This window comes from Homo sapiens, chromosome 5, assembly GCF_000001405.40.
Source record: "Homo sapiens chromosome 5, GRCh38.p14 Primary Assembly".
Classification (NCBI taxonomy): domain Eukaryota; kingdom Metazoa; phylum Chordata; class Mammalia; order Primates; family Hominidae; genus Homo; species Homo sapiens.
Genome location: NC_000005.10, coordinates 140028909 through 140053912, shown reverse-complemented (window position 1 = coordinate 140053912; position 25004 = coordinate 140028909). Strand labels below are relative to the sequence as shown.

General features: G+C 42.9%; 1 protein-coding gene across 7 annotated transcripts in view, besides 5 other annotated features; it reads left to right on the top strand.

Annotated features, from left to right (window-relative positions):
• Positions 10472-10811: a silencer, noted in NCBI's record as "silent region_16439". NCBI's record gives its function as "represses an Ori minimal core promoter by ATAC-STARR-seq in GM12878 lymphoblastoid cells {active_cell/tissue: GM12878}" and the evidence as "EXISTENCE:reporter gene assay evidence [ECO:0000049][PMID:35858748]".
• Positions 10472-11181: a biological region, named in NCBI's record as "H3K4me1 hESC enhancer GRCh37_chr5:139422349-139423018".
• Positions 10480-11149: an enhancer, noted in NCBI's record as "H3K4me1 hESC enhancer chr5:139422349-139423018 (GRCh37/hg19 assembly coordinates)". NCBI's record gives its function as "activates a minimal SCP1, AML or CMV promoter by ChIP-STARR-seq in naive and primed H9 embryonic stem cells {active_cell/tissue: H9 hESC(naive and primed)}" and the evidence as "EXISTENCE:reporter gene assay evidence [ECO:0000049][PMID:30033119]".
• The window catches only part of NRG2 (neuregulin 2), a 196519-nt gene continuing 182128 nt past the window's right edge, over positions 10614-25004 (top strand). For all 7 annotated transcript variants that reach the window (NM_001184935.2, NM_013981.4, NM_013983.3 and 4 more), the window contains exon 1: positions 10614-11543. In NM_001184935.2, the coding sequence (NP_001171864.1) occupies positions 10844-11543 (700 nt within the window). In that variant the 5' untranslated portion in view covers positions 10614-10843. The remainder of the gene's footprint in view (positions 11544-25004) is intronic.
• Positions 10972-11181: a silencer, noted in NCBI's record as "silent region_16438". NCBI's record gives its function as "represses an Ori minimal core promoter by ATAC-STARR-seq in GM12878 lymphoblastoid cells {active_cell/tissue: GM12878}" and the evidence as "EXISTENCE:reporter gene assay evidence [ECO:0000049][PMID:35858748]".
• Positions 12522-12711: an enhancer, noted in NCBI's record as "active region_23258". NCBI's record gives its function as "activates an Ori minimal core promoter by ATAC-STARR-seq in GM12878 lymphoblastoid cells {active_cell/tissue: GM12878}" and the evidence as "EXISTENCE:reporter gene assay evidence [ECO:0000049][PMID:35858748]".

Genomic DNA, 25004 nt, shown 5'->3' with positions numbered 1-25004 from the left:
ATTTTAGATATATTAAGTTATTAAAATTAATCTGTTTCTTTTTACTTTTTAATATGGCTACTAGAAAATGTAAAATTACACACGTAGCTCATATGTGTGGCTCACACATTTCTACTGGACAGTGCTGTTCTAGAAACTCTTCCCTATCACCCTTTTTATTTCATCATCTTATGTAGTTCTACAGCTTTAAATACCAACTATATGTTGACTCCCAAATGTAGACCTTTAACTCTAACCTCTTATTTTAAGCCGAGACTTACCTACCCACTTGTACTTGAATTTCCATTTGCATGTCTAACAGGCATCTTGGTATTAATATGACAAAAATGGAATTTTCTATTTCTTTCAACTACTGAATTTCTCATCTCAACCAATGGTACCATCCTCTGTCCAAGCCAAAACTTGAGTCATCTGTGATTACTCTATTTTCCTTGCCCACTTCATCCAATCTAGCAAGTCTTGTTGGTTCCATCTTCAAATTATATCTTAAATTCTGTCAATTTTTCTTTATCTCCATGGCTACTACACAAGTTGAAACCACTGTCATCTCTCCTAGTCTACTGCAAAAAAAAAAAAAAAATGACCAGGACAGGACACTGCCAGCTTCCTAACTGATCTCGCTGGTTCCACTCTTGTACCATGACAGTCTCTGCCCCATACCTCAGAGTGATCTCTTTTAATTATAAATCACATGGTGTCTACTTCAACCCTCCAGTGACTTCCCATTGTGCTTAGAAAATAACCCAAACTTACTTTAGTTTGCAAGGCCCAGCATGAGTCTGATCACTACTTATCTCCCTGACCTCATCCCATACCACTCTTCTTCCTTGTTATAACAATCTCTAACCCCACTGGCCTTCCTTCCCTACTTTGATCGTGTCCAGCTTATTATTTCCTCAGGCCTTTTGTGTGGGATTCTTCCCTTTGCTTCAAATGCTCTTCTCCCAGTGTATTGTGTGGCTGACTCCTCTTCATTCTTCATGTCTCAGATCACATTCTGTCTTCTTAGAGAAACCATGCCTGTAAGCACTGTCCTGTCCTGGTCATTTTTTTTTTTCATGGAGTCTCTCTCTGTCACCCAGGCTGGAGTGCAGAGGCGTCATCTCAGCTCACTGCAACCTCTGCCTCCTGGGTTCAAGCAATTCTCCTGCCTCAGCCTTCCAAGTAGCTGGGACTACAGGTGCCAGCCACCACGCCCAGCTTTTTTCTTTTTTTGTATTTTTGGTAGAGACGGGGTTTTACCATGTTGGCCAGGCTGTTCTCAAACTCTTGACCTTAGGTGATCTGCCCACATTGGCCTCCCAGAGTGCTGGGATTACAGGTGTGAGCCACTGCACCTGTCCTGTCCTGGTCATTTTCAATCCAATCATACTCATACACCTCGCTCTTTATTTCTCCATCTTTTCTTTCTCTCACTGAAATTTTTTTTTGTTTCTTTCTTTCCTTTTGGTGTCTGTCTCCCTTTACAAGTGTAAACTGTTCAAGGGCAGGGGCCTTATATGTCTTATTTGCCTCTACGTTCTTAGCATCTGATAGAAAGTTTGGAACAGAGTAGGCGCTAAAGACACTTTTGAATGATAAGTTCTAAAATAAGTATTAATCAAATGGATGTTTTAAAAGAAAGAATGAAATAAAAATATTATTGGGATGAATAAGTTCATTTTGAAATGAATAATATGGGATGTCTTAGAAATGAAGGCATAAGGAGTTTTGCATTATGCTTTAACAGATGTTAATCCTTTAGTGTGACTGAGTTTGTCATATCAGCAAATATTGAGGGCCTAGCATTTGCAAAACACACTGTCTCTGCCCTTAGAATTGAGAAAGCCAAGAGAGCAGTGGGGCACTGAGCCTCTGAGATACAAAGGGGAAGGATGACATTAAAGGAGAAGGTGTGTGTGTGTGTGTTTGTGTGTGTGTGTGTGTGTGTGTGTGTGTAAGAATCAAGAACGGGTGCCCACTCAACAGATAACAGCCCACCTGACTCCAATTTTGCCTAGATTTTGCTCTAGCAGGAACCATGGCTATTATTTCTTTAGCATCTGGGGCAGTGCTATGCCTAGCAGATTTTTCAATAAATGTTTCTGGTAGAATGAATAAATACATTTAGGAATTATAACAAAAACTCAGGGAAAGTAAAGTCTTAAAATTACTGACCTCGGATGATATTGAAGTGTCTAGAAACCACATGAAAAAGAATGCACATGAACTAAAAACTGTAAAGTAGAAACAGATGAATTGAACACTCGAAGGTACACTAGCATGAGGATTTGGGACTAAGAAAATAATTCCTTTTTCTTGTCCTGCTTCACGCCCCCAGAGTTGAATCAACCTCGGAGTTCCTGTTGACCTCAGGAGAGGATTCCAAAAACACAAATCAGGAAAACAGAGTGGGGGAAATCTTTGAAAGTTAAACAGCAAAAACATCCATCTTGAGGACATCTCATTTTTTCCCAATCCAAGTTAGATCTGCTATGACACGTAAAAGAAAATGAATGATGGTGTTGATCATGAATGTATTATCTGGTTGTGACAATACTGGACAGATATATCTGTGTCCAGACTATACTTCTGCTATGGTCTATTTTAGGGAGCTTCTGGATTTTAATCTAAAAGTGATATCTGGAAAAGAGATAATAATTTGTGTTCACATAGCACTCTTCATCCAAAGGTCTCAAAGCACTTTACAAAGAAATAATTATTATTATCCCAGATGGAACAACTCAGACAGAGGGGCTGCTGCCCTTTTCAGCAAATTGGGGAGTGGAAGCCCCTCGACTCCAAACACAGCCATAGGCTATAAACTATTGAATCCTGGCCTCTCTTGATTGGGAACTGGAACTATCAATTAGAAGCCTTTTTTTTTTAAATAAAGCAGAACATCAGGCTCCAATCTTAAGAATTTCAGCATGTGTTCAAAACATATGAAAGTGAATGCTTTTAAAACGGATGAATTTTGGGCAAAGTATGGCTGCTTAAAATAAGAAAAGTGGTTATTACAGTCAAACTAATAATGGCTAACGTGCTGAACATTATTCTAAGTGGGTTATATATATTATTTTATTTAAGACTCATAACAATTTTAATGATGTAGGAAGATATATCATTTTACTCATTTTACAGTTGAGGAAACTGAGACAGAGAACTTAAGTAGCTAGGCCAAAATGTCAGTCAAGCAAACTGGCAGAGCTGGAATTCAGACGTAGGTAGTTTGACTCCAGAGCCTTCACTCTTAGCAAGTTACTCTGTGTCCAGGTACTGTGTGAAACATTTCACATGAATTATCTCACTTAATCCTTACACAACTTCTAAGAAGTAGATATTTTATTGGGGGCCCCTCCCAATAAAGGAAATCAGAGAAATTAGAGACCTCTTAGATGATAATGAAAGTGACACTAAGAGACTGCCTCTTACCCAGAGAGCTGTGACGGTGCTGTGCATGAGGACGTGCTTTGGCAATGGACAAGCTTGGATTAGAGTCCCAGCTGTGTCTGTCATTTGGACAAGTTATTAAACCTCTATACATTTTCCATTTGTAAAATACAAAGTAGTTAAGGCTCAGAAATGAAAAGACTTAAAAAGGTGAAGTGGCCAGACATGGTGGCTCACGCCTGTAATCCCAGCACTTTGGGAGGCTGAGGTGGGGGGATCATGAGGTCAGGAGTTCAAGACCAGCCCGAACAAAATGGTGAAACCCTGTCTCTACTAAAAACACAAAAATTAGCCGGGCGTGGTGGCACGTGCCTGTAATTCCAGCTACTCAGGAGGCTGAGGCAGGAGAATCGGTTGTACCTGGGAGGCAGAGGTTGCACTGAGCTGAGATCGCGCCACTGCACTCCAGCCTGGGTGACTGAGCGAGACTCTGTCTCAAAAAACAAACAAACAAACAAACAAAAAAGTGAAGTAACTTATCCAAGCTCACGTTCCAGTAGAGGTGGAGTCAGGCTTTTGAAAAGTAGACAAAAGAGAACTGGGCCAGGGGTCAGGAAATGAGGGCTGTTCCTGCCGCCAACTAGGCTGTGTGACCTTGAGCAAATCAAATAATCTCCATGGTCTCTGTGCCTTCCTCTGTAAAAGAAGGACATCAGGCTACATTGATACTAAAACCTTTCCCAGTGCTAACATTCTGACTCTCAATATCTGTTTTCTGTTTAGTCCCTTGTTTGAAAATCCTTGGAGGAAAAGAAATTAACCACAGAACCTGAAAGTGACTCTGGAAGCCAAATTTAGAAAACAGATCTCAAAAGGAGAAAAAATAAGTTTTCAAAATTTCTTTATTTAGGAAGCGAGACTGCCCTGCAAAGTGTTTGGCTTGATTTGTGAGACTCAGTGACCAGATAAAGGCCATACAGATCTCCTTGACTAGCCAGTTCTCCTAGCTGCAGTAAGCCATGTAACCTGGTTCAGTGGCTCTTTCTGGCCTGCTATCCTGGCTAAAGCTGGAAGAAGCCCATCCTGTGTGGGAGGGATCTGAGAAAAGAAGCCAAGCTTTTCATGTGGGTGTTCTATCTTGAATTCAGAATGTCTATACCATTCTGTCTACTTCTGTTTTTGTTCTTAGTGATTATTATATAGTGACACAGCCCACTGCTACCATGAACCAGTTTTTTTCACAACCTTGTGGTAAGCCACGGTATAGTGAACAGGTCTGGCTTCCATTTCTCTATGTGGTTCTATTCAAAAGTGTGAGCTTGAGTTTGTGATAAATCTTGGCAAAAAGATATCCATAGCTTTGTGATCTTGGGAAAGTCACTTAAATTCTCCGTCTGTCGATTTTCCTCATGTTTTTGTAAAATAATGCTTATCCCACGTGCTCTTCGGTGTTATGAATTTCAAATAGTGTATATGTGGAAGTAGTCTGAGGAAATTAGAGACCTCTTAGATGACAATGAAAGTGATGCTGGCTGGGCGCGGTGGCCCACGCCTGTAATTCCAGCACTTTGGGAGGACGAGGCGGGTGGATCACTTGAGGTCGGGAGTTCGAAACCAGCCTGGCCAACATGATGGAACCCCGTTTCTACAAAAAATACAAAAATTAGCTAGGAGTGGTGGTGGGCCCCTGTAGTCCCAGCTACTTGGGAGGCTGAGGCAGAATTGCTTGAACCTGGGAAGCAGAGGTTGCAGTGAGCCGAGACTGAAGAAGTGAGACTCTGTTAAAAAAAAAAAAAGGAAGAAAGAAAGTGATGCTAAGAGAAGACTGTCTCTTACAGAGAGCTGTGACGGTGCTGTGCGTGAGGAAGTGCTTTGGCAATGAGCAAGCTTGGATTACAGTCTCAACTGTGTCTGTCATTTGGGCAAGTTATTAAACCACTATGAATTTTCAATTTGAAAAATTCAAAGTAGATAAGACACAGAAATAATAAACACAAAGCTTCCAACAACAAGCCATTAATAGATGATGCCTATTATTATTTTTATTGTCAGTTATTGAATTACAGTGCAGAGTTAGCAGGTTTGGAATACTAGGTCTTATTTTCTAAGTCATACATACTAATTCACTGTGAACTTCAGGAAAAAGCCAGTATAAAATTGGGCTGTCCTTCTAGGAAACCAAATACCCTAAATGGCTGAGGCCAATTTCGGAAGCTTATCCTCACATACATCACACCTTGAGGAAATCTGGACAGGCACCTTCCTCCCCTTTATCTTTTTTTTTTTTTCCTTTTTGTGGAGAATGGGGTCTCGCTATATTGTCCAGGCAGGTCTTGAACTCCTGGGGTCAAGCTACCCTCCCACCTCTGTCTCCCTAAGAGTTGGGATTACAGGCATGAGCCACTGCACCTGGCCCTTTCTTCCCTTTAGAAAACTCTGCCTAACTCTCCACTTTCTATGGCTGCAGGAATTCTGGTAATCTGCTGGAGTCTCAAAATTTACCTCGGCATTCTAAGTTTATCTGAACAGGATATAATTATAGCAAAATAATTCCCTATGCTTTTTAGCATAAGAATCCCATTTTAAGGTAAAAAGAGTTTTACCCCATATAATAGTAGTTCCCATTATATAGAATATTCTTTCTGTTTATAGAATCCTATATAATAGTAGTTCTACTTTAAGTAGACTTTGAGAAAAACACATGATAAAAATTCAGCAACATTAACAAATTAGAGGATCCCCTCTTAAAATTTTTTTGAATAGCTAGTACATGAACTTGATATAAAATTCACGAGGTACAAAAGGAAATACCATGAAAATATCCTTCTTTCACCCCATCCCTCATTCACACACTGCCCTTCTCCAGAGCCTCCTATTGTTTCAACTTCTGCTGTATCTTTTCAAAGGTAAATTTGCACTACAAACATTTACATATTTCATCTTAAAAAAAGACAAAATGGTAGCATCTTACCACTCTTCTTCATCTTGCTTTTTTTCACTTAGCAATATCTTGTTATATTTTGTTGTACTTTAACATGGATATGTTGAAAAAAAAAGGTGGGGAGCAGGTGTGGTGGTTCACACCTGTAATCCCAGCACTTTGGGAGGCCAAGGCAGGAGGATTGCTTGAGCCCAGGAGTTGGAGACCAGTCTGGGCAAGGCCCTATCTCTACCAAAAAAAAAAAAAGTAATAATAAAGAAAAGAAAAGAAAAGAAAAGAAAACTAGCTGGGTGTGGTGGCATGTGCCCGTAGTCCCAGCTACTTAGGAGGATCACTTGAACCCAGGAGGTCGAGGCTGCAGTGAGCCATGATGGCCCCACTGCACTCCAGCCTGGGCAACAGAGCCAGATCGTGTCTCAAAAGAAAAAGAGAGTCCGGGCGTCGTGGCTCACGCCTGTAATCCCGGCACTTTGGGAGGCTGAGGCAGGCAGATCACCTGAAGTCAGGAGTTCGAGGCTGCTCTGGCCAACGTGGCGAAACCCAGTCTCTACTAAAAATACAAAAATTAGCCAGGCGTGGTAGTGCGTGCCTGTAGTCCCAGCTACTCGGGAGGCTGAGGCAGGAGAATTGCTTAAACCTGGGAGGCAGAAGTTGCAGTGAGCTGAGATCACACCACCGCACTCCAGCCTAGGGGACGGAGACTCTGTCTCAAAGAAAAAAAAAAAAAAAAAAAAGAGGCCGGGCTCAATGGCTCACACCTATAATCCCAGCACTTTGGGAGGCCAAGGCAGGCAGATCACCTGAGGTCGGGAGTTCAAGACCAGCCTGACCAACATGGAGAAACCCCGTCTCTACTAAAAATACAAAAAATTAGCCAGGCGTGGTGGCAGGCACCTGTAATCCCAGCTACTTGGGAGGCTGAGGCAGGATAATCACTTGAACCCGGGAGGTGGAGGTTGCAGTGAGCCAAGATCACACCATTGCACTCCAGCATGGGCAACAAGACCAAAACTCTGTCTCAAAAAAAAAAAAATAAGAGAGAGAGGGGAAAATAATATTTTTATTCTTCATGACATGTGCTGTTGAAAAATTGTATCGCCTTTTTTTTTTTTTTTTTTTTGAGACAGTGCTCTGTTGCCCAGGCTGGAGTGTAGTGTCATGAGGCTCACTGCAACCTCTGCCTCCTGGGTTCTAGCATTTCTCCTGTGTCAGCCTCCCAAGTAGCTGGGATTATAGGGGAGCGCCACCACGCCTGGCTAATTTTTTTTTTGGTAGTAGTAAAGATGGGGTTTCACCATGTTGGCCAGGTTAGTCTTGAACTCCTGACCTCAAGTGATCCACCCCACTCAGCCTACCAAAGTGCTAAGATTACAGGCATGAGCCACTGCACCCAGCCGCATTTTTTAATATACAGAAAATCCTAGTGAATATTTTTAATATACAGAAAATAAATACCACTTAGAGATTCTCAGCTCTTAGATTGGGAACCACCAGTATAAGTAAAATATTAGTAATCTTCAACTTTAATTTTGGCCCTTACTGTGCACCAGACATTGTTCTAAGCACTTTACATATTATCTCACATAATCCACATCCTCATCATCCTTCTAGTCTCAGCTTAAATGTTATCTCCTCAGAGAAGCCTTCCCTTATCCAAGTAGACCTATCCTCTCCCCTTTCCATTATTCTCTAGCATTTCATCCTGTTTATTTCCTTCAGGACACTCAGCAATACAAGTAATTAGTTACCCATTTGTGTACTTATTTACTGTTGTCTTCCCAGTCAGAGTATGAGCTTTGAGAGCACAGACATGTACTATTGAACAGTTTGGTTCACCACAGTACATCCAGTAACATACAGTGCCTCAGTGCTTGGCACAGAGGAGCCATTCAATTGAATATTTATTGAAAGTACATACTGAGCAAAAAACAGCTTTACGAAGTAGACCCTATTATTTTCTCCTTCATACTGATAAGGAAACTAAGGCCTAGAGAGTGAAATAGACTCATCCCAAAGTTGGTAAGTCACAGAGTTGCTTTAAAACCCAGCTCTGCTGGGCTCCAGAGCACAAGCTCTTCACTATGACCCTGGTCTCAGGAACAGAAGACTGAGTTCAGTCCTGGCTGTGTGAAATGTTGAGTAAGTCCCCTATCCCCTCTGGGACTTTTTCTTTCATTGTAAAATGAAAGAGTGGATGTCGCTATCTTCCTTATGGTGATGTTTTGTGATTTATGAGGTCTGTGATCTATGAAAATGAAATGGGGGACACTGAAGGAGCCAAGAAGATTGGCTTGATGCCTTTAAGCGTGCCGATTTTCAGTTATTTTCTTCCTTCTCTCCTTCTTTCACTGGAGATTTGCTAATCCTTATTTTATGCCAGGCATTGTGTTGGAGGTAATAGGAATCCAAAGATGAATAGGATATATATAGTCCCTGACATTAACGTGCCTGGCCTGATGGGAGATGCAGACCCATTAAATGGCTGCTTGAAATACGGTATGGGCCAGTATCCCAACAGTAATACTATGTGTGAAGCTCATGGCAATACAGAGGAGGAAGGGATTAATTCCATCATGTATGTGTTGGTGGGAGTAGAGGTGGATATGTAGGAAGGGGGATGCGGTATAATGCTGAGCTGGGCCTTGGGAAAATAAGTTTTCCATGTGGTCAAGGTGGAGGTGAGGCTTTCTGGACACAAGAGACATCATGTGCAGAAGCACACCAAGAAAGAGCATGAAGTGCTGAGGATTGCTAGAGTGGGGGGTTGGCTCTCAGGATATGAAGCTGGCTAGGCAAAGGGAGCCCATGAAGAGCCTTGCTGAGGAGTTTGAACTTAACTTCTGAGAGCAGTAGCATGGCCAAATTGTACTTACATTTTATTTTTAGAAGGATCACTCTGGCATTGGTAGGACTGGAGATAGGTGATGAGGTGAAAGGAGTGGAGACCAGTTAGAAGGCTTAGAAGTTGTCCAGGTGAGAGATGATGAGGGCTTGGACTTAAGGTATTTGCAGCAGAGTTGGAGTGGAAGTAGATAAATTGGAGATTATTTTAAAAGAGAGACCCAAAGGCCTTGGTGATTAATTGGATGAGGAAGAATAAAAGATGAGATGAAGGGACTTATTGTAATGGATTGATGTAGTCTAAAAGAATAAAACAGTGGCATTAATAATTATAGGGGATTTGGAGTGAAGTGGAAGAAATAATGATGTTGGCTTTGGATGTATTGAGTTTAAGATGTCTCTTAGCTAGGAGGAAAGGTGTAGCTCTCTCTACTTCCTTTCCAGAATAGCAGTCCTAGCCTAAGTCACTCATCCTTGGACCAGTTTCCTGTGGAGCCCAGTGCGGTATAAAATTCCCCAAGAGCTCACTGGCATTCCTGAGCTCCACATCCTTCAAGGTTAAAAGCTGGGTGTTGAAAACTCCCTGGACCCTCATTGATAGGCTAATGGATTATGGACCTGTGTGTGTGTGTGTGTGTGTGTGTGTGTGTTTTAAATCAGATGCTGGCTCCAGTGCAGCAAACTCTTCTGCCTCTTGCAAGCATCAGCCTTGGAAACAAAACAAAACAAAACAAAAAAAACCTTTTTTATGGAGCAGCCTCTGGCCCTGACAGGCTCTGGCTCTCTGTTGGCTCCCAAGAAGCCCCCCACCTTTCTTAGAGATCAGATTTTTAAAAGATGAGGTTGTACAGTGCTCAGCCAGATCCCCACGTGGCCGCTGAAGAAAGCCCAGAGTGTTGGGGACTGGGCCCTTTCTCAGCTACCACCTCTGCTTGGGTGTCCTCAATGCTAAGACAAGACACCTTGTGGCCCAACTCTTTCCAAAATGACGGGGCTGGGATTCTCCCCCACCTCAAGTCGAATATCCAGCGTTCACCAGGCGGTGGCAGGACCGAGCACGTGGTATCATTTAGGGGCTGGGCTCCAGGGTCCTCCTAGGAAAGAGGACAGCCCAAGAGGCGAGAGGCTGGCCGGCCACCCTGGCCATGGCAACCTCTCTGGCTCCTACAGCTGCTGGCCAAAGGCAGGGGGCACGCCCTGCGTCCCATTACCACGTTCATAGGATGGTGCCAGGAGCCCGTTATCTCTTCTTCGCCTTCTCCTCACGCACCACCCCCACTGTCATGCCGATAAATCCCGGGAGCAAAGGGTGGCACGATTCCTCCCGCGCCCCTGCGGGCTGAAGGCGGGCACTAAAGCAGTGCAGTCCCAAGCTTCCCCTGCAGAAGCCGCGCTCCCTACTCGGTCCGGGGGCAGAGGGGGCGCGAGAGAGCAAGTGGGCGGGCGTCCCATCCTCCGCATCCTCCTCCAGGTCCTGGCGCACAGGGTGGGAGCGCTGCGCTGCGCCGCGCTGCGCATCGCGGCCCGCTTGCCGCCTGCCCCCTGCCCTAGCTGGGCCACCTCCCCGGGCTGCCGGTGGAGGGCTAAGAGGCGCTAACGTTACGCTGTTTCCGGTTTTCCAGCGGGCTCTGTTTCCCCTCCCAAGGCGGCGGCGGCTGAGCGGCGGAGCCCCCCAAATGGCCTGGCCAGATGCGGCAGGTTTGCTGCTCAGCGCTGCCGCCGCCGCCACTGGAGAAGGGTCGGTGCAGCAGCTACAGCGACAGCAGCAGCAGCAGCAGCGAGAGGAGCAGCAGCAGCAGCAGCAGCAGCAGCGAGAGCGGCAGCAGCAGCAGGAGCAGCAGCAACAACAGCAGCATCTCTCGTCCCGCTGCGCCCCCAGAGCCGCGGCCGCAGCAACAGCCGCAGCCCCGCAGCCCCGCAGCCCGGAGAGCCGCCGCCCGTTCGCGAGCCGCAGCCGCCGGCGGCATGAGGCGCGACCCGGCCCCCGGCTTCTCCATGCTGCTCTTCGGTGTGTCGCTCGCCTGCTACTCGCCCAGCCTCAAGTCAGTGCAGGACCAGGCGTACAAGGCACCCGTGGTGGTGGAGGGCAAGGTACAGGGGCTGGTCCCAGCCGGCGGCTCCAGCTCCAACAGCACCCGAGAGCCGCCCGCCTCGGGTCGGGTGGCGTTGGTAAAGGTGCTGGACAAGTGGCCGCTCCGGAGCGGGGGGCTGCAGCGCGAGCAGGTGATCAGCGTGGGCTCCTGTGTGCCGCTCGAAAGGAACCAGCGCTACATCTTTTTCCTGGAGCCCACGGAACAGCCCTTAGTCTTTAAGACGGCCTTTGCCCCCCTCGATACCAACGGCAAAAATCTCAAGAAAGAGGTGGGCAAGATCCTGTGCACTGACTGCGGTGAGTCGCCCCCTCCCTTTGCTGGAGAAAGGGGGGAGGGGCGAGGTGGTGGAGAATGGGGGTGGGGCGGGGAGGTGCTGCAGGTGCCCGGGCCTGGCAGCGTCCGGGCGCTGGGGGGGTGGGGCCGCCCCTGGGCAGGGCGCCTGGCACGGGTGGGTGAGGGGGTTGGGGTTGGAGAGAAGAAGGATCAGGCTCAAAGTGTGCCAGGGGTGGGGGGCGGAGGGAGGCGCTGGCCTGTGCCAGCGGGGATCTGCGGCTGATGTATGGCATGTGGGGCTGGAAAGCTGCCATCATAGCCCAGTAGCGGAAGGAAAAACGGAGAGGTCCTGGCGGTGCTGGCCTGAGGCTCAGTGAGTCAGGAGTGACCCTCGGAGGCCTTGCCTGCCCTGCTGCCGCGGGCCTGCCGTGCCCAGGCTGGCAGGGTCTGCGGGAGCAGCTGGGCAGACTCCCAGGCTGTGAAGGCCTCCGCTTACAAGTTCTCCTAGGGAATGGTCGCCCCCGCCCCCTCCTTCCTCTCCTGGGCTCGTTGCTCTGCTCATCCACACCGCTGGCGCAGGCAGAGTTGGACTTTTTCTGCTACTGTTTTCCGTCCTCCATGTGGCTCCAGTTTTTTTCTTCATCGTGATTGCCTGTCTTTGCTAAGCAGGTAGCACATCCTTCTCTTAAGACTAGCAAGCAGACACCTTTTTTTTTTTTTTTTTTTAGCTGTTTCTGGGGGAATTACAAGGTCTGTTGATTGTGATGATGATGAAAGAGAGTAACTTCTGCTGAATGCTTTAAGTTCAGCTCTAACGTCTTACTCGCCGGATGTATTTGACTGCATCTCTCATCTTCATGATGTTGGATGCTGCACAGGAATGCAGGTGATTAGAAACAAAACACTGAAATCTGTAGATCTCTGCAGCTGGGAATGGAAGTCTCCCATGTCAAAAGTCAAAGAAATGTCAGTCTAAGAGCTTTTTCTTCTTGTCCCTGAATCCAGTACTTACTTCTTAGTAAGATATTTCAAATCAAATTGTCCCACACTGGAGTATTTGGTGTAAGCCTGTCTCGTGCTTATTCAAATTGAGGTTTCGTTTTGTCCCAACTAAAGCTGAATTTGTTGGCATGCGGTATGACTTGCTGGACTGTGTAATCGCTGAATTATGATAGATGTCCTGTACTCTCATAGAAGTTGGTATGTTTACCAGTTTTACCAACTGATTCTGGGTAGTGTAGACAGGCTTTGTTTGAGTAGCAAAATATGTGTAACAGCTTATAGTAAGTTTTGCTGCCTTCATCTTTCTAGATCGATACCTATGATTTTTGGAAGCTTTCCTCCCCCACCCCCTTCAGGAGGCAAATTTTAGGAGTTTAGTGATGGGAGTATATCTAGACACTAACTATGTTAAACTGTGATCACTTTAATGAGAAGAATCTTGGCAATGTCTTAATAAGGAGGGGAAAACTTTGGGGGATAACAGCAGTTTATCGCTCTGACATTATCCTTAGGAATATTGTTGACTGCTTTTTATTATTGGTTTTATGTTCTGAAATGTTTTATAAAGACAAGTAGAGACCAGCTAAGAATTTCTAATTTTTTATTCTATTAAGTATTTTGATACTTGGGGAGTATTAAAATACTCTGAGATGCCTTGGGGAGCTGTGAAACAGTATTGTACAGTGGAAAATAGATAGTAAAAATATTTATTGAATCTTGTCCAAGGACAGCTTCTGTTTGGTTGTTGGTGAGTTGCTCCTGCATTTGCACAGTGTACATCTCCACATAATCCCTAGTCTGGGCCGCTGAGGACTTGATGGTCTTTGTCAGATAACCCCATAGAGTAACTGGCTTCTCTGCTCCCTTGTCTCCCTCCTCCTACTTTCTCCTTCCCCCAACACAATACACCTTATCAATTACACATTGTTTGTTCTAGTGGGTATTCAGTAGCTTAACAGTTGAATGCAGAAATCATGAAAGATTTGAGGGGCAGAAATATGGTCTGTTTCTAGGTTATGATCATCTCATATTATCAAAATAGCATGTGTAGTATAGTTCTTAAAAAGATACATTTAGAACTGCAATCACTGGTAAAGGAAGGGCCCTCACATATCACAAATTATCAAGGATCAGGAATGTGTATGGCAGTAAACATTTTAGAATGCAAAAAAAAATTGCTTTGAATTGATATTCAAAGGGAAGTATATAAATAGGTACCATTTTGGGGAGCCTTATATAAGGGGATTAGAAATTAAAGGACATATTTGTGAGACTTGTGGAATTGGTGATAATATAACAGAAGAGCATAAACTGCATTTTCTTGTTTTCTACTATGTGGTTAAAGAAAACATGTACTGGTAATGCTATATTAAATAAGGAAACAAAATCATCCTAACTAACCACAACACTGTCCTTGTGCTTAGCAGGAAATAACTAACAAATTCATTTTCTGTTTTCTATTCTAAAGAAAGCCCTCTGGGCCACAGGGTCATTGGGAACATTTTCTCCTTGGAGCAGATTTGCCCATTGCAAAATAGGGAAACTGGCACTTGGAAACTGTCGTCATGGCCGTTACATTGAGCAACTGAGGTTGCATTGTTGCTTTGTTTAGCTAGTTTCAGGTCTGAGTGTGTGTAGGTTCTGAGAGGTGTGGTTCTCTGGGAAGTCACCTAGAAAGCCCGTGGGTTTTTTTTTGGAGGGGGGCAAAATATGGAGGGATAATATTGTGTTTAAAAATTGGCCTCAGGAGCATCAATGCAGGAGGTCACACTGGACCTCTTCTTATCAGTCCTCATAAATGGCTCGTTTCCACCATGAAATGTTGACTTGAAGTCTGTGATCTAAGGTGGGGAAAGGTAGACAGGGGTCTTTCTGGAAGAGCAAGACCTGCCAGAGTGATATTTTTACATATCTAATGTGTATCATTTATCCAGAAAGAGTACATCTGGTGATAGAGTTGAGTAAAATCTTTGCATTTCTTAGAAGATTGCATTGTATGGAGGGAGGTGTTTTCTGTGCCTTCTGTGGAAAGGCGAGGAAAAAGAGTTAGAAAGGCCTTGCAGGGATTAGCAATTCTGTACAATGTTATAAAAACATCATGTTCTGCAAATAGTCCTGCATTTTAAAAGATGGTTGCATATATTTTGGTATAATTACACCCTATCTTGTTGTTTTCTTATATTCATGTTTTTAAGCAGTTTCCTTATTGAATAGATGCAGTAAATAGCATAAAAAATGAAGATCATTTCTTTCTTTGGGATTTCCTGATTAGCAGTTTTCCAGTGTATAGTGTACTTTGTTGCTACAAGGAAAGGTGTATTCCTAAGGATTTTTACATTCTTTAGGATAGTTTTAAATTAATGTGGCACCCAGATTCACATATTAGAGAAAGGTGGTTCACAAAATTCAGTATAGCAAAAGCGACTACATATTTTTTAAATGCTGTTTATTTAAAGAATCTTTTCTTCCCCAGCCAGCTGGAAACCCAGCTGTGCTGCAGCTTGAAGATGGGAAAGTGAAACTAGATTAGAAACTGACCAGTCCTAGTGATGAGGACAAGGCATGGTTGTAGATTTAACGATTGAATTACCACCCTAATGTCATTATTTCTTGTAGTGGCTGCTTTCCTCGGCAGACTGCATTCTTGGGGTAGGAACAATAGCTTATCTTTGAGGTCTTCTTTCTCCTAGTTCTCCTGCCCTGCCGCGTTTCGTACTTTGCCTGGTTTATAGAAGGACTCTCCATCAGTGTCATTTGAATGGATAAAGTCAAGTGAAGTTAAAGAAAGCCTCCAGATTAAAACTAAAACAATCTTAACTCTCTGACCTGTGACATCAAGTCCTGTGCTGAAAAGCTGAGTTTGATGATAGCCTTTACCTGTCGCTATGGGAACCTTTCTTCCGAAAGAATCATTATCAACTAGAGTACTTAACCACAATGTGCTTAATCATTGTGCTGATTAGTGTTAATGGGATTTGAGCACTGGAGAATAAAGATCTTGCTGGAAAAGACCCTCTTATTTTTTTTTCTTTTGGAAGGTAGATTACTACTTGCCCACCCCCAAATTTAAACAAAAATAAAACAACCGTCGGTTTGAATTAACAAACAGTTTGAGAGCTAGGGATGGTGGTATATTAACAATCTAGGTGACTAACTTCCTCTCGGCCCCTAATCAAAGCAAGTGTGCTTCCCCTTTACTATCCTGTTTTATCTAGGGCATTTTAATTTTATTTCCTAATATCAATTAGTTTTTTCTTTATAAAATTATATTTATATTTTTGGAGCTGTAGCACATTTATATGGCTCAAAATTCAGAAAATACATAAAAATATATGATGAAAAGTTTCCTTCTTAATCCCTGTTCTCAGCTACCCCGCTTTAAGGCTCTGTGGTAAAATATTCAGGAATAATTTATTCTTGAAGTGTGTGTTTCTCTAAAAACACAATGTTTTTCAAAGCAGTCTTTTTTTTTTTTTTTTTTTTGAGATGGAGTCTTGCTCTGTCGCCCAGGCTAGAGTGCAGTGGCACATTCTCAGCTCACTGCAACCTCCGTCTCCCTGGTTCAAGCAATTCTCCTGCCTCAGCCTCCTGAGTAGCTGGGATTACAGGCACCCGCCACCGCGCCCGATTAATTTTTGTATTTTTAGTAGAGACGGGTTTTCACCATCTTGGCCTGGCTGGCCTCGAACTCCTGACCTCGTGATCCACCCGCCTTGGCCCCCCAAAGTGCTTGGATTACAGGCGTGAGCCACCGCGCCCGGCCCAAAGTAGTCTTAAATTTTCTTTCAACAGAGGGAGAATGTTAATTTTGCCATTAAGCCAATTTTGTGGTAAATTCTTCCCAGGTAATACATATTTTCTTAACCTGGCCCAAGATCTTATCTACCTAGTTCCAGTGATCTCTGAGTCCTCTATCTCAAGTATCTATTAAAGGATCCTCTTTTCTCCTCAATACCTTACCTCACAAATATAATTCTGGACTCAGGAATGAAAATACCAACTTATTTTTCAGATACTTTGCCGTTAAGTTTTCCCTGACAATACATTGTATAAGTCTTAACTGGGATGCTCAAAGGAGAGATCCAAAGGTTTATCACTGAGATTTAGGGCTGCATCTCAACCCATACAGCAATTCTTATTGTTTCACACGCTTGGTGATCTCACAGTAGAGTCCATGTGGGAGATCACATGATTTCACAGACAAAAAGAGAAAACTCCACAGTGCATGATTGCTTTGATTTTCATTCAGAAGACAGAGACCGCAGTTGTCAATGAAGAGTTTGATTTTGACCATATTCATGCACAGCTGGTACAATCCCAGGGAATTTAGCTACCTGAATACTGTTCTGAAGTACGTTTAAAGTAACTGATTGGAACATAGTGTTAAAATTTCAGAGGATCAGGGAATTGCCATTTGGATACATAGGAAAAAAGTAAATATGCAAATATCAAAGCAGCAGAAGTCTTAACCCTCTAAGCGCTGTTTGCTTAGTGGCATTTGGCAATTTTGAAAATTTGTGAAAGGAATGGTGATATCAGTATCATTGAAGTTTCCCCAGTGCAGTTTTCAACAACTTGTTCTTAGATCTTTCTTTGCAAGATCTGAAGTGCTGTTAGTATAATTTGCACTAAAAGTAAAAGAAATTTCCCCCAAATTTTGTGTTTGGATGGATGGGTGTATATGGTGTGGGGATTTCTGTCTTACTTGTTGCTAGCAAATTAACCCTCTCCTCCCACTTACTTTTTCGAATTTGTACATAGAAATAAGTCCAGTTTATGAATTTCAAGAGATGATACAGGCAACTCTTTAGGAAACTAGGGAAAGTAGATGAATTAATCGGTAGAAGTGCTAAATTATGACAAGTTTGAACAATGACTTTTATATTTAATTAAAGTAGACTTCTTTAAAAACAGTAATACACGCAGATGAATCTTGCTGAACTAGAGCTCCATGTCAGGTTGTAAGAACTGAAGCACACATAGAGGACGATTAAAAGGTATTAGGATGACATGAAAGGACATTCTGTACCCAGGCAAAGAGCTAGGAAGCTTTTGCCAGTCTGGGGTCAAAAGACAAATTTGCACTTATGGAGTGTGATTAATTGCTGCTAATCAGCTATAATGTTTTTGATAATTATGAAATGAAGTTAAATTAAGGAGCCTTCCTTCTCTGGCTAGTTGGGAGAGTGTGGCATATGAGCTCCATTCTACAGTAACATTCCCTTCCCACTTTGTATATGCAGGAAGATCCAAATGGCCTCTCCAGGGACCTTCTCTGGGACAGAGGCCTGACACTTCCGGAGCCTGTCAGCTCTGCTCTATGCCTCTGTTCAGGACCTGATTGTGCTGCTAGCCTCCTGAGTGTGGGGCAGGACTGGTGGTTAACATTTCATTTACCCTTGCAGATGTTTCTAGAGCAGCAGAGGCACAGGTACTGTAGAAAGTTTCTGTATTCTGCAAGCAACGCAGACCTCCAAGATGTGATGATCAGATTACTTTTTTTTTTCTCTCCCCAGAAACAGAATCCACAGTGGTTCTGTTTATCATTCACAGTTTCCTGCCCTGTGCTGAGGACACTGGCTCCCTTACACCTTCTTTCCCTGATCTGTTATATAAAGACTGAGGATCTGTCTTTGTCCTTTATGCTGGGATGTTTTACTTGGTCTTGATCTTGATATTGATCCAACTAACAGAAGCCAAGCTGAATTGACATTCCTCAGAATTGAATGAGAGGAAGGTCACAAAATGGCTAAACATCTGGTCCAGCCCATGCAAAAGTCAGGACATCATGAATTCTATTGTGACAGTGATGCAATTTGGTATCCCAAAAGTTTTATTACAAAAATAACTTTCTTTTAATTCAATCTTTTCAATGTTTGCTTCAACAAATATTTAAATATATATTCTGTGTAAAGAACAAGTTACTTTAGAGGAGCTGCATCAGATACAGTCACCATCATTGATGAGCTTACAATCATATAACAGTAATTTAACTTAGAATATGATAAACACTGTAAAATATGCCAACATAGTGCTTTTGGGAGGAGGAGAAGAGTCAAAAAGGAAAGAAAGATAATATCTGGTTAGAAGATTAAAGAAAGTTTCTTGGAGAAGTAGTTTGAGAAGGGTTTCCAATAATCAGAGATAGTTGAGGTGAGAGTAGTTTGGGGATAGAGATGAATCAATTGATTATTTCATGCAGCAAGAGCAGCATTCTCAGTAGCAGAGGGGGGATGTTTATGGAATAATAAAAAACAAAAAACAAAATGAAAGGGGAATGAAAATGAGGAGCCTGGAGAGGTAGATTAGGGTGATATTGTCTTCCTTTCTTTGCAGAGATAGGGTTTCGTCATGTTGCTCAGGCTGGTCTTGAACTCCTGAGCTCAAGTGATCTTCCCACTTTGACCTCCCAAAGTCCTGGGATTACAGGTGTGAGCCACTGCGTCCAGCCTAGGGTGATATTTTAATCAGTCTTGAATGCTAGACTGATTAATTATTCTTAATTATGTAAGTAGTATTTGAAGGCTTAGGTTAAAAGTAACTCAGTAACATTTTGTAGTTCAGTGAATGGGTCTTGCACATATTTCGTTAAATTTAGCTGGAAGTTTCGTGGTTTTTTTTGCTATGGTATTCTATTCATGTTATTATAAATGGTATTATTCATTTAATTTCATTTTTCAGTTACTCATTGTAGTGTGTAGAAATATCATTGTTTTGTTTTGTTTCATATATTGACTTTGTATGTTGTGACCTGAATACATTCACTTATTTGTTCTATTAACTTTCTTTTTGTATATTAATCGGGATTTTCTATGTACATAATTGTGTGGTCAATGAAAAAAAGACATTTATATTTTCCTTTCTAATCTGTTTCTCATTTGTTTCTTTTTCTTGCCTTATTACACTGGCTAGGACTGCCAAAGTGCAATGTTGAATAGAAGTGGTAAGAGCAGACATTCTTTTTCTATTCATGCAGAAAAACATTCAGACTTTCATGATTAAGTATGATTTTAGCTAAAAGTTTTTCATAGCTGCCCTTCCTTCAGAAAAAAAAAAAAAGTCGACCCAAAACTGTGTAATGACTAAGAGCTTGAGCTCTGGATGGACCCGGGTTTAGAAACCATCTTTTGTGGCCGGGCATGGTGGCTCACGCCTGTAATCCCAGCACTTGGGCAGGCCAAGGCAGGTGGATCATGAGGTCAGGAGATCGAGACCATCCTGGCTAACATGGTTAAATCCTATCTGTATTAAAAATACAAAAAATTAGCTGGGTGTGGTGTGCCACAGGCCTGTAGTCCCAGCTACTGGGGAGGCTGAGGCAGGAGAATCACTTGAACTTGGGAGGCAGAGGTTGCAGTGAGCCAAGATCGCGCCACTGCACTGCAGCCTGGGTGATAGAGCGAGACTCCATGTCAAAAAAAAAAAAAAGGAAACCGTCTTTTGCATTTTCCAGCTGGGTGATATTGGGCAAGTTACTTTCTGCATCTTAGTTTCCTGTAAAATGAAGATAGTGATGGCACTTTATAGAATTGCTATGAGTATTAAATGTAATAATGCATGTAAAATAATTAACATATCACTTGATTGAAAAATGTTAATTATTAACCAATGTGAGCAGGAAGACTAGGTAAATGAAAATATTAAGTTCCAGAAGCAGACCAGGGGGAGGCAAGAGGAAACAGTTTTATGAACAACTATGTTTTTCACCCAGATATTCCCATTTGTTTCAACTTGAGAGTTATTGGGCTGGATCTGGTGGAGGTGGTGGTGAGAAGAGAATGGGTTATGTGTGTGGTCACATTGTGGAGACACCCTTGTGAGTCCCAGGATATGAATGCTCATTCTGTGGAGATCCCAAGTAGCCCACAGATCTTGATGTGCTCATGGGTACGTGCTGGTCAATTTTTCGAGAAGACTGAAGATAGATACTGTTTTTCTCTGTTTCACAAATGGGAGGACTAAGACCCATACTCACAGTGTCTCTTTCAAACTCCCATCATACTGGTGGGGTGAACCAAGTTCTGGAGTCCTGCCAGGATTGCTCTTTGACTTCGGTAGGTCTTATCTTACATTTTTACTGTTGTCAGGAGAAGTTGCTGAAAGTCCCTGGAAAATGGCTGAAAGCTTCCTTATTTTCAGATAGGGTCCTTGACTCATCCTGCTTTGATTTGGGGGTTTCCAGGGTTGGGAGTGGGTTCACACTGAATCATTCATCCTTTTCTTGTTTCTGTAGTGAGTTGTAATATATCTGGTGGCTTCCCAAGGTCAGAGGAATAGAGATGTGATCATGTAACAGGTGACATTTTTTGAGTTTGTGTGATTTTATTTTTATTTTAAATAATTAATTGATATGTGAAACCTGATGAAAGTATGAAACTTACTCTTTAAGTGTTTGTAGGACAAAGACTGCTAATTATTTTACATGCATGATCTCATTTAATACCCATACAATTATATTAAGTGCTATCACTATCTTCGTTTTACAGAAAATGAAAACACAGAAAGTAATATATTTGGGGGTTCTTCCTTTAAATATTTGTTGTTTATTATTACCCCTCAGGTCCTTGGCTGGCCATCAATCCCCTGACCTCAAGAAGTAGTGTTTATTTTTTCTTATTCTTAAAGTCCTAGTATTTGTGGCCTATATTATGTATATAACACTTATCATTTAATGCCACACATTGCTAATTATCTTTTGATGGGCCAGTATCTTATCTCGTTTACCTGGTGGTAAGATCTTTAGGGGCAGTAATTTAAAATATGGTGAAGTTAATATTTGATTGCTGGTATTGCCAAGTAAAAAGGGAGCAGTGGGAGCATTTGCTTTCTCTACTGCCCACTTTTTTCCTAGACACATTTCAAGATTCATCAAATGACAGCCCAGGCTAAGGGACAACCATGGAAAGTACCTTTGGACATTTTGATGAGGGCGGAATTTTGCTTCTTGGTCATGTTTCAGTTCTATTTTTTTTTTCTCTCAATAGTCCATAGTTTCTTTATTTTCTTGCAAGTAATTGTCCTCTTTTATTGAGTTTTAGAATGATTTCTAGGTACTTTTCCTCATGTATGTCAATATTTTGGCTTGTGTTCTTTTTCTGTGTTTTGGTTAGTTGGCATTCTGCAAAATTTACCAGTTTCACTTGCCACCTGAGCTTTTTGGATATTCCTTATTCTGGTCTCTCACTGGAATGCCTAGCTACACTCTTAATCTGGCCTGTTCATGCTTCAGGCTGAATACCTTCAGAGGTAAGAGGTATGACCAGGTTCCTTTTCTGTAGTAAGCTGAGATCACGAATTAGGAGTAGCACCTTTTTGCCTAGTAGACAATTTGGGGGCTTCTGGAGGCCAGTGCTGGTCCTTTGATCACTGGTTTTTGTTTTGAAAGGGGGTGGTGGGAGCTCAATCCTTTCTCCTAATGTTTCTCCTTTGGCATGTTCATTCTTACACCATTCCCTTGAAATGAGGCATTTTCTGCCATGTCTGCTTGGCTGAAGTATTGGGTAGGGTGTGGGCTTCTCCTCCAGCTCCAAGTTCCCAAGGACTGTTAGACACCACCTTTCAGAAGGCTCTGGCACTCAGCATCCTTAAGTCTGAGTCCCTTCCACTGGTGCCTTTGGCCATAGGTATGATCTTAATACAGCACCTTGCCGCACTTGCTTAGACCAGCAATAGATTTCTTAAGCACTGCCCCACTGATGCCTCTTTTCTGGAGTTACTTTGTATGGCTTTAGAGAGGAGGGTTTATTTACCAGTCAGGATCGAACAGGTAGTGATTAAGCAGATGATCTGTCATGTCTGAATCCCTGTCTCTGGATGAGAGAAAACAGCAAGGCTGCATCCAGGGCAACTTTTCTAGCATTGTTATTGGTTGATTTGATTTTAGGGGAAAAATAGTGAAAATAAAAATTTTTTTAAAAGAAAGAAAGGAGTCTCAGACCATTACAGGATCCGGTTGTTACAGGCTGAATCCAAGGCCCATAAGTGAAGAGTTTCTTTTAAAGGACTCTGGGACTTCCAAAGACAGCCTGTCAGACTGCTTACTGTTGGTTGGTTTCTTTTTCACAGTCTGTTTGTATGGGTTTTACTTCTGACCCTCTCTTACCTGAGGCTTCACCTCTCCCACTTCATCCCACCTGGCTTCCTTCCTTTCTGCTTAGGCCTGCTGATAGAATTGCTCTTCTCTGAATGTAACATCCGTTCTTCAGCCCCCATTGTCAAGAATCAGGAAAATTTCCAGAAATTTTTGGTATAAAATTCCCAACTCTTCCTTAGACCTCAGGTCTGACAGGCCTAATGGGGAGGTAGGCATAATCCTGGGATAGGATGAGGGTGGGACCAAATCCAGTAAATCTGGCTGAGTTTCCCTTAGGTTGGATTCTTTTGGACATAACATGGAGTTTTTTTTTCCAGAAGTCATCTTCCATAATTCTAGGTCTCATTTTCAAAAGGAATCCTTTCTCCAAAAAGGCTAGTAACATTCACTGGTCTCTTAGTAACATATACATTAAGTTGTCTTGGCCAAGTACTGACAGAGATTCCTTTCAGATGGCACCTCCAGAGCTCAGCCCAGGTGATTCAGGCCAATGCTAAGAAAATCCCACCATGTAGAGCCAAGTAGTATTACCATCTGGGCAGAGCCAGACACCACCACCTCTGAGAGAAAGGAGAAAGGTCTTTCTGCTGGAAAGAATCTAATTTGTAAGTTGAAGGGAGGCACATGGGTGGCTCCCAGATTGGAAGTGAGCTTTCCGTATTTGTTTCTTACTGTGTAAATTATCTGAGTAGGTTTCCACTGTGTATGGTTTACACTCAGTCAACTGAAAGGGCAAGCGGGAGCTGGAGCTGAGACTGGTTCCCTTGGAAGTGCTGTTTTCACCTCTGCCAGGCTTGCCCCTGCTTCACCTATGCCCACAGACAATGTGGGCTTTGCGCTTCTCCTGTGTGGTGTTACAGCCTCAGGGCCTCTGGTGAATGGTCTGCCTTACATCCAGAGCTTGTCGTACAGAGGTAAAAAAGTTAAAGGCATTGGTTTTGATTAGTTCTGTAAAGGGATCACCTAAAACTAGTGCATCCTAGGGAGCTCTGTCTAAAAGAAAACATTGAGTTGGTAAAGAGTCCCAGTGGGTTTGATGGGCTTCCTTGGGTCAAGGTCATGAACCATATATATTTTTATAAGTATAAGAGTTTACTTTTCTCATGTCTGAAGTTAAATAACAGCCTAATCCTTCCAGAGTAGGAGTGAGTGTTGTCATTGTAAGAGGGAGAAAAGGGCGATCAATAGTGCTGCTCTGTCCACATGACTCAGGGAGTAATCCAATGACATAACTCTCCATTCTAGGGTTCAAAGATTACTTTCTGTGGAGGAGTTTGCTACTAGCAATGTGGCTTTGGGAGGGGAGCCTTATGGTTGGCTTGCAGTTGACCCAGTCAGCCTTAAAATTTGAAGCTGGTTTGTGGATCCTGCCATGGGTTCCTCCAGGAATGCTGTCATAGTGTTTGGTTTTCTGACACACCTCTTTCCCCTCTCCCTTCTTTCTCAGGTCATTCAATCACCATGTCTTCTTTTGACCACTTTGTAGAGGGTACAGTCCCTTAGGGGTTGTCCTTGGTTCTCCTCTCAATTTATGAAATCTGATTTGAAGATTTCATCTGTTCATAGCAGAATGGTTACAGCTGCACGCTGGAGCTTTTTTTTTTTTTTTTGAGACAGAGTCTTGCTCTGTCACCCAGGCTGGAGTGCAGTGGTACGATCTCAGCTCACTGCAACCTCCGCCTTCCAGATTCAAGCAATTCTCCTGCCTCAGCCTGGAGCTGACTTTTAAAGGCGAGTCCTTACTCTGTGACTTACTAGCTGGATAACCTGGGGAAAATTAATGAACCTCTTTGTGCCTCAGGTTTCCCAACTATATTATGGGGCTCACAGTAATACCTACCTTATAGCATTGTGATGAACATTTGGTGAGTTACTCCACATGAAGTGCTTAGAGAACAGTGCCTTCTTATAGAAAACATTCAATGCAGGCTAGCTGCAATTACTGTCATGTCTGTCATTAGTGGAAAGAGAATGGCTTTTGATTCGGATGGGTATGTGACTCTGTTCCTGACTGTGTTTCTTACTCGCTGTGTGAACTTGGGAAAAGTCCCTTAATTTTTTTGAGTCCCAGTTTCTACCTGCCTATGGCAGTTATCGATTGTGGTATGGCAAAACACCCCAAAATGGAATAGCTTAACACAGCAACAGTTATTTGTTATAATCTCTCACAGTCCTGGGAATTGAGGGGCTCAGCTAGGAGGTTTAGTATCTTTCATGTATTTTAGTCAGATGGTGGCTGAACAGTCAGACACTAGTTGCGACAAGGTCATTTCAAAGTTTCTTCTCTGACATGTCAAGCATATAATTCTGGCTGGAATTTCATCTGGGAGTGTAGCCGGGTCTGAGGACCAAGGACCTTGCCTGGGTTTCCTCACAGTACCATGGCTAG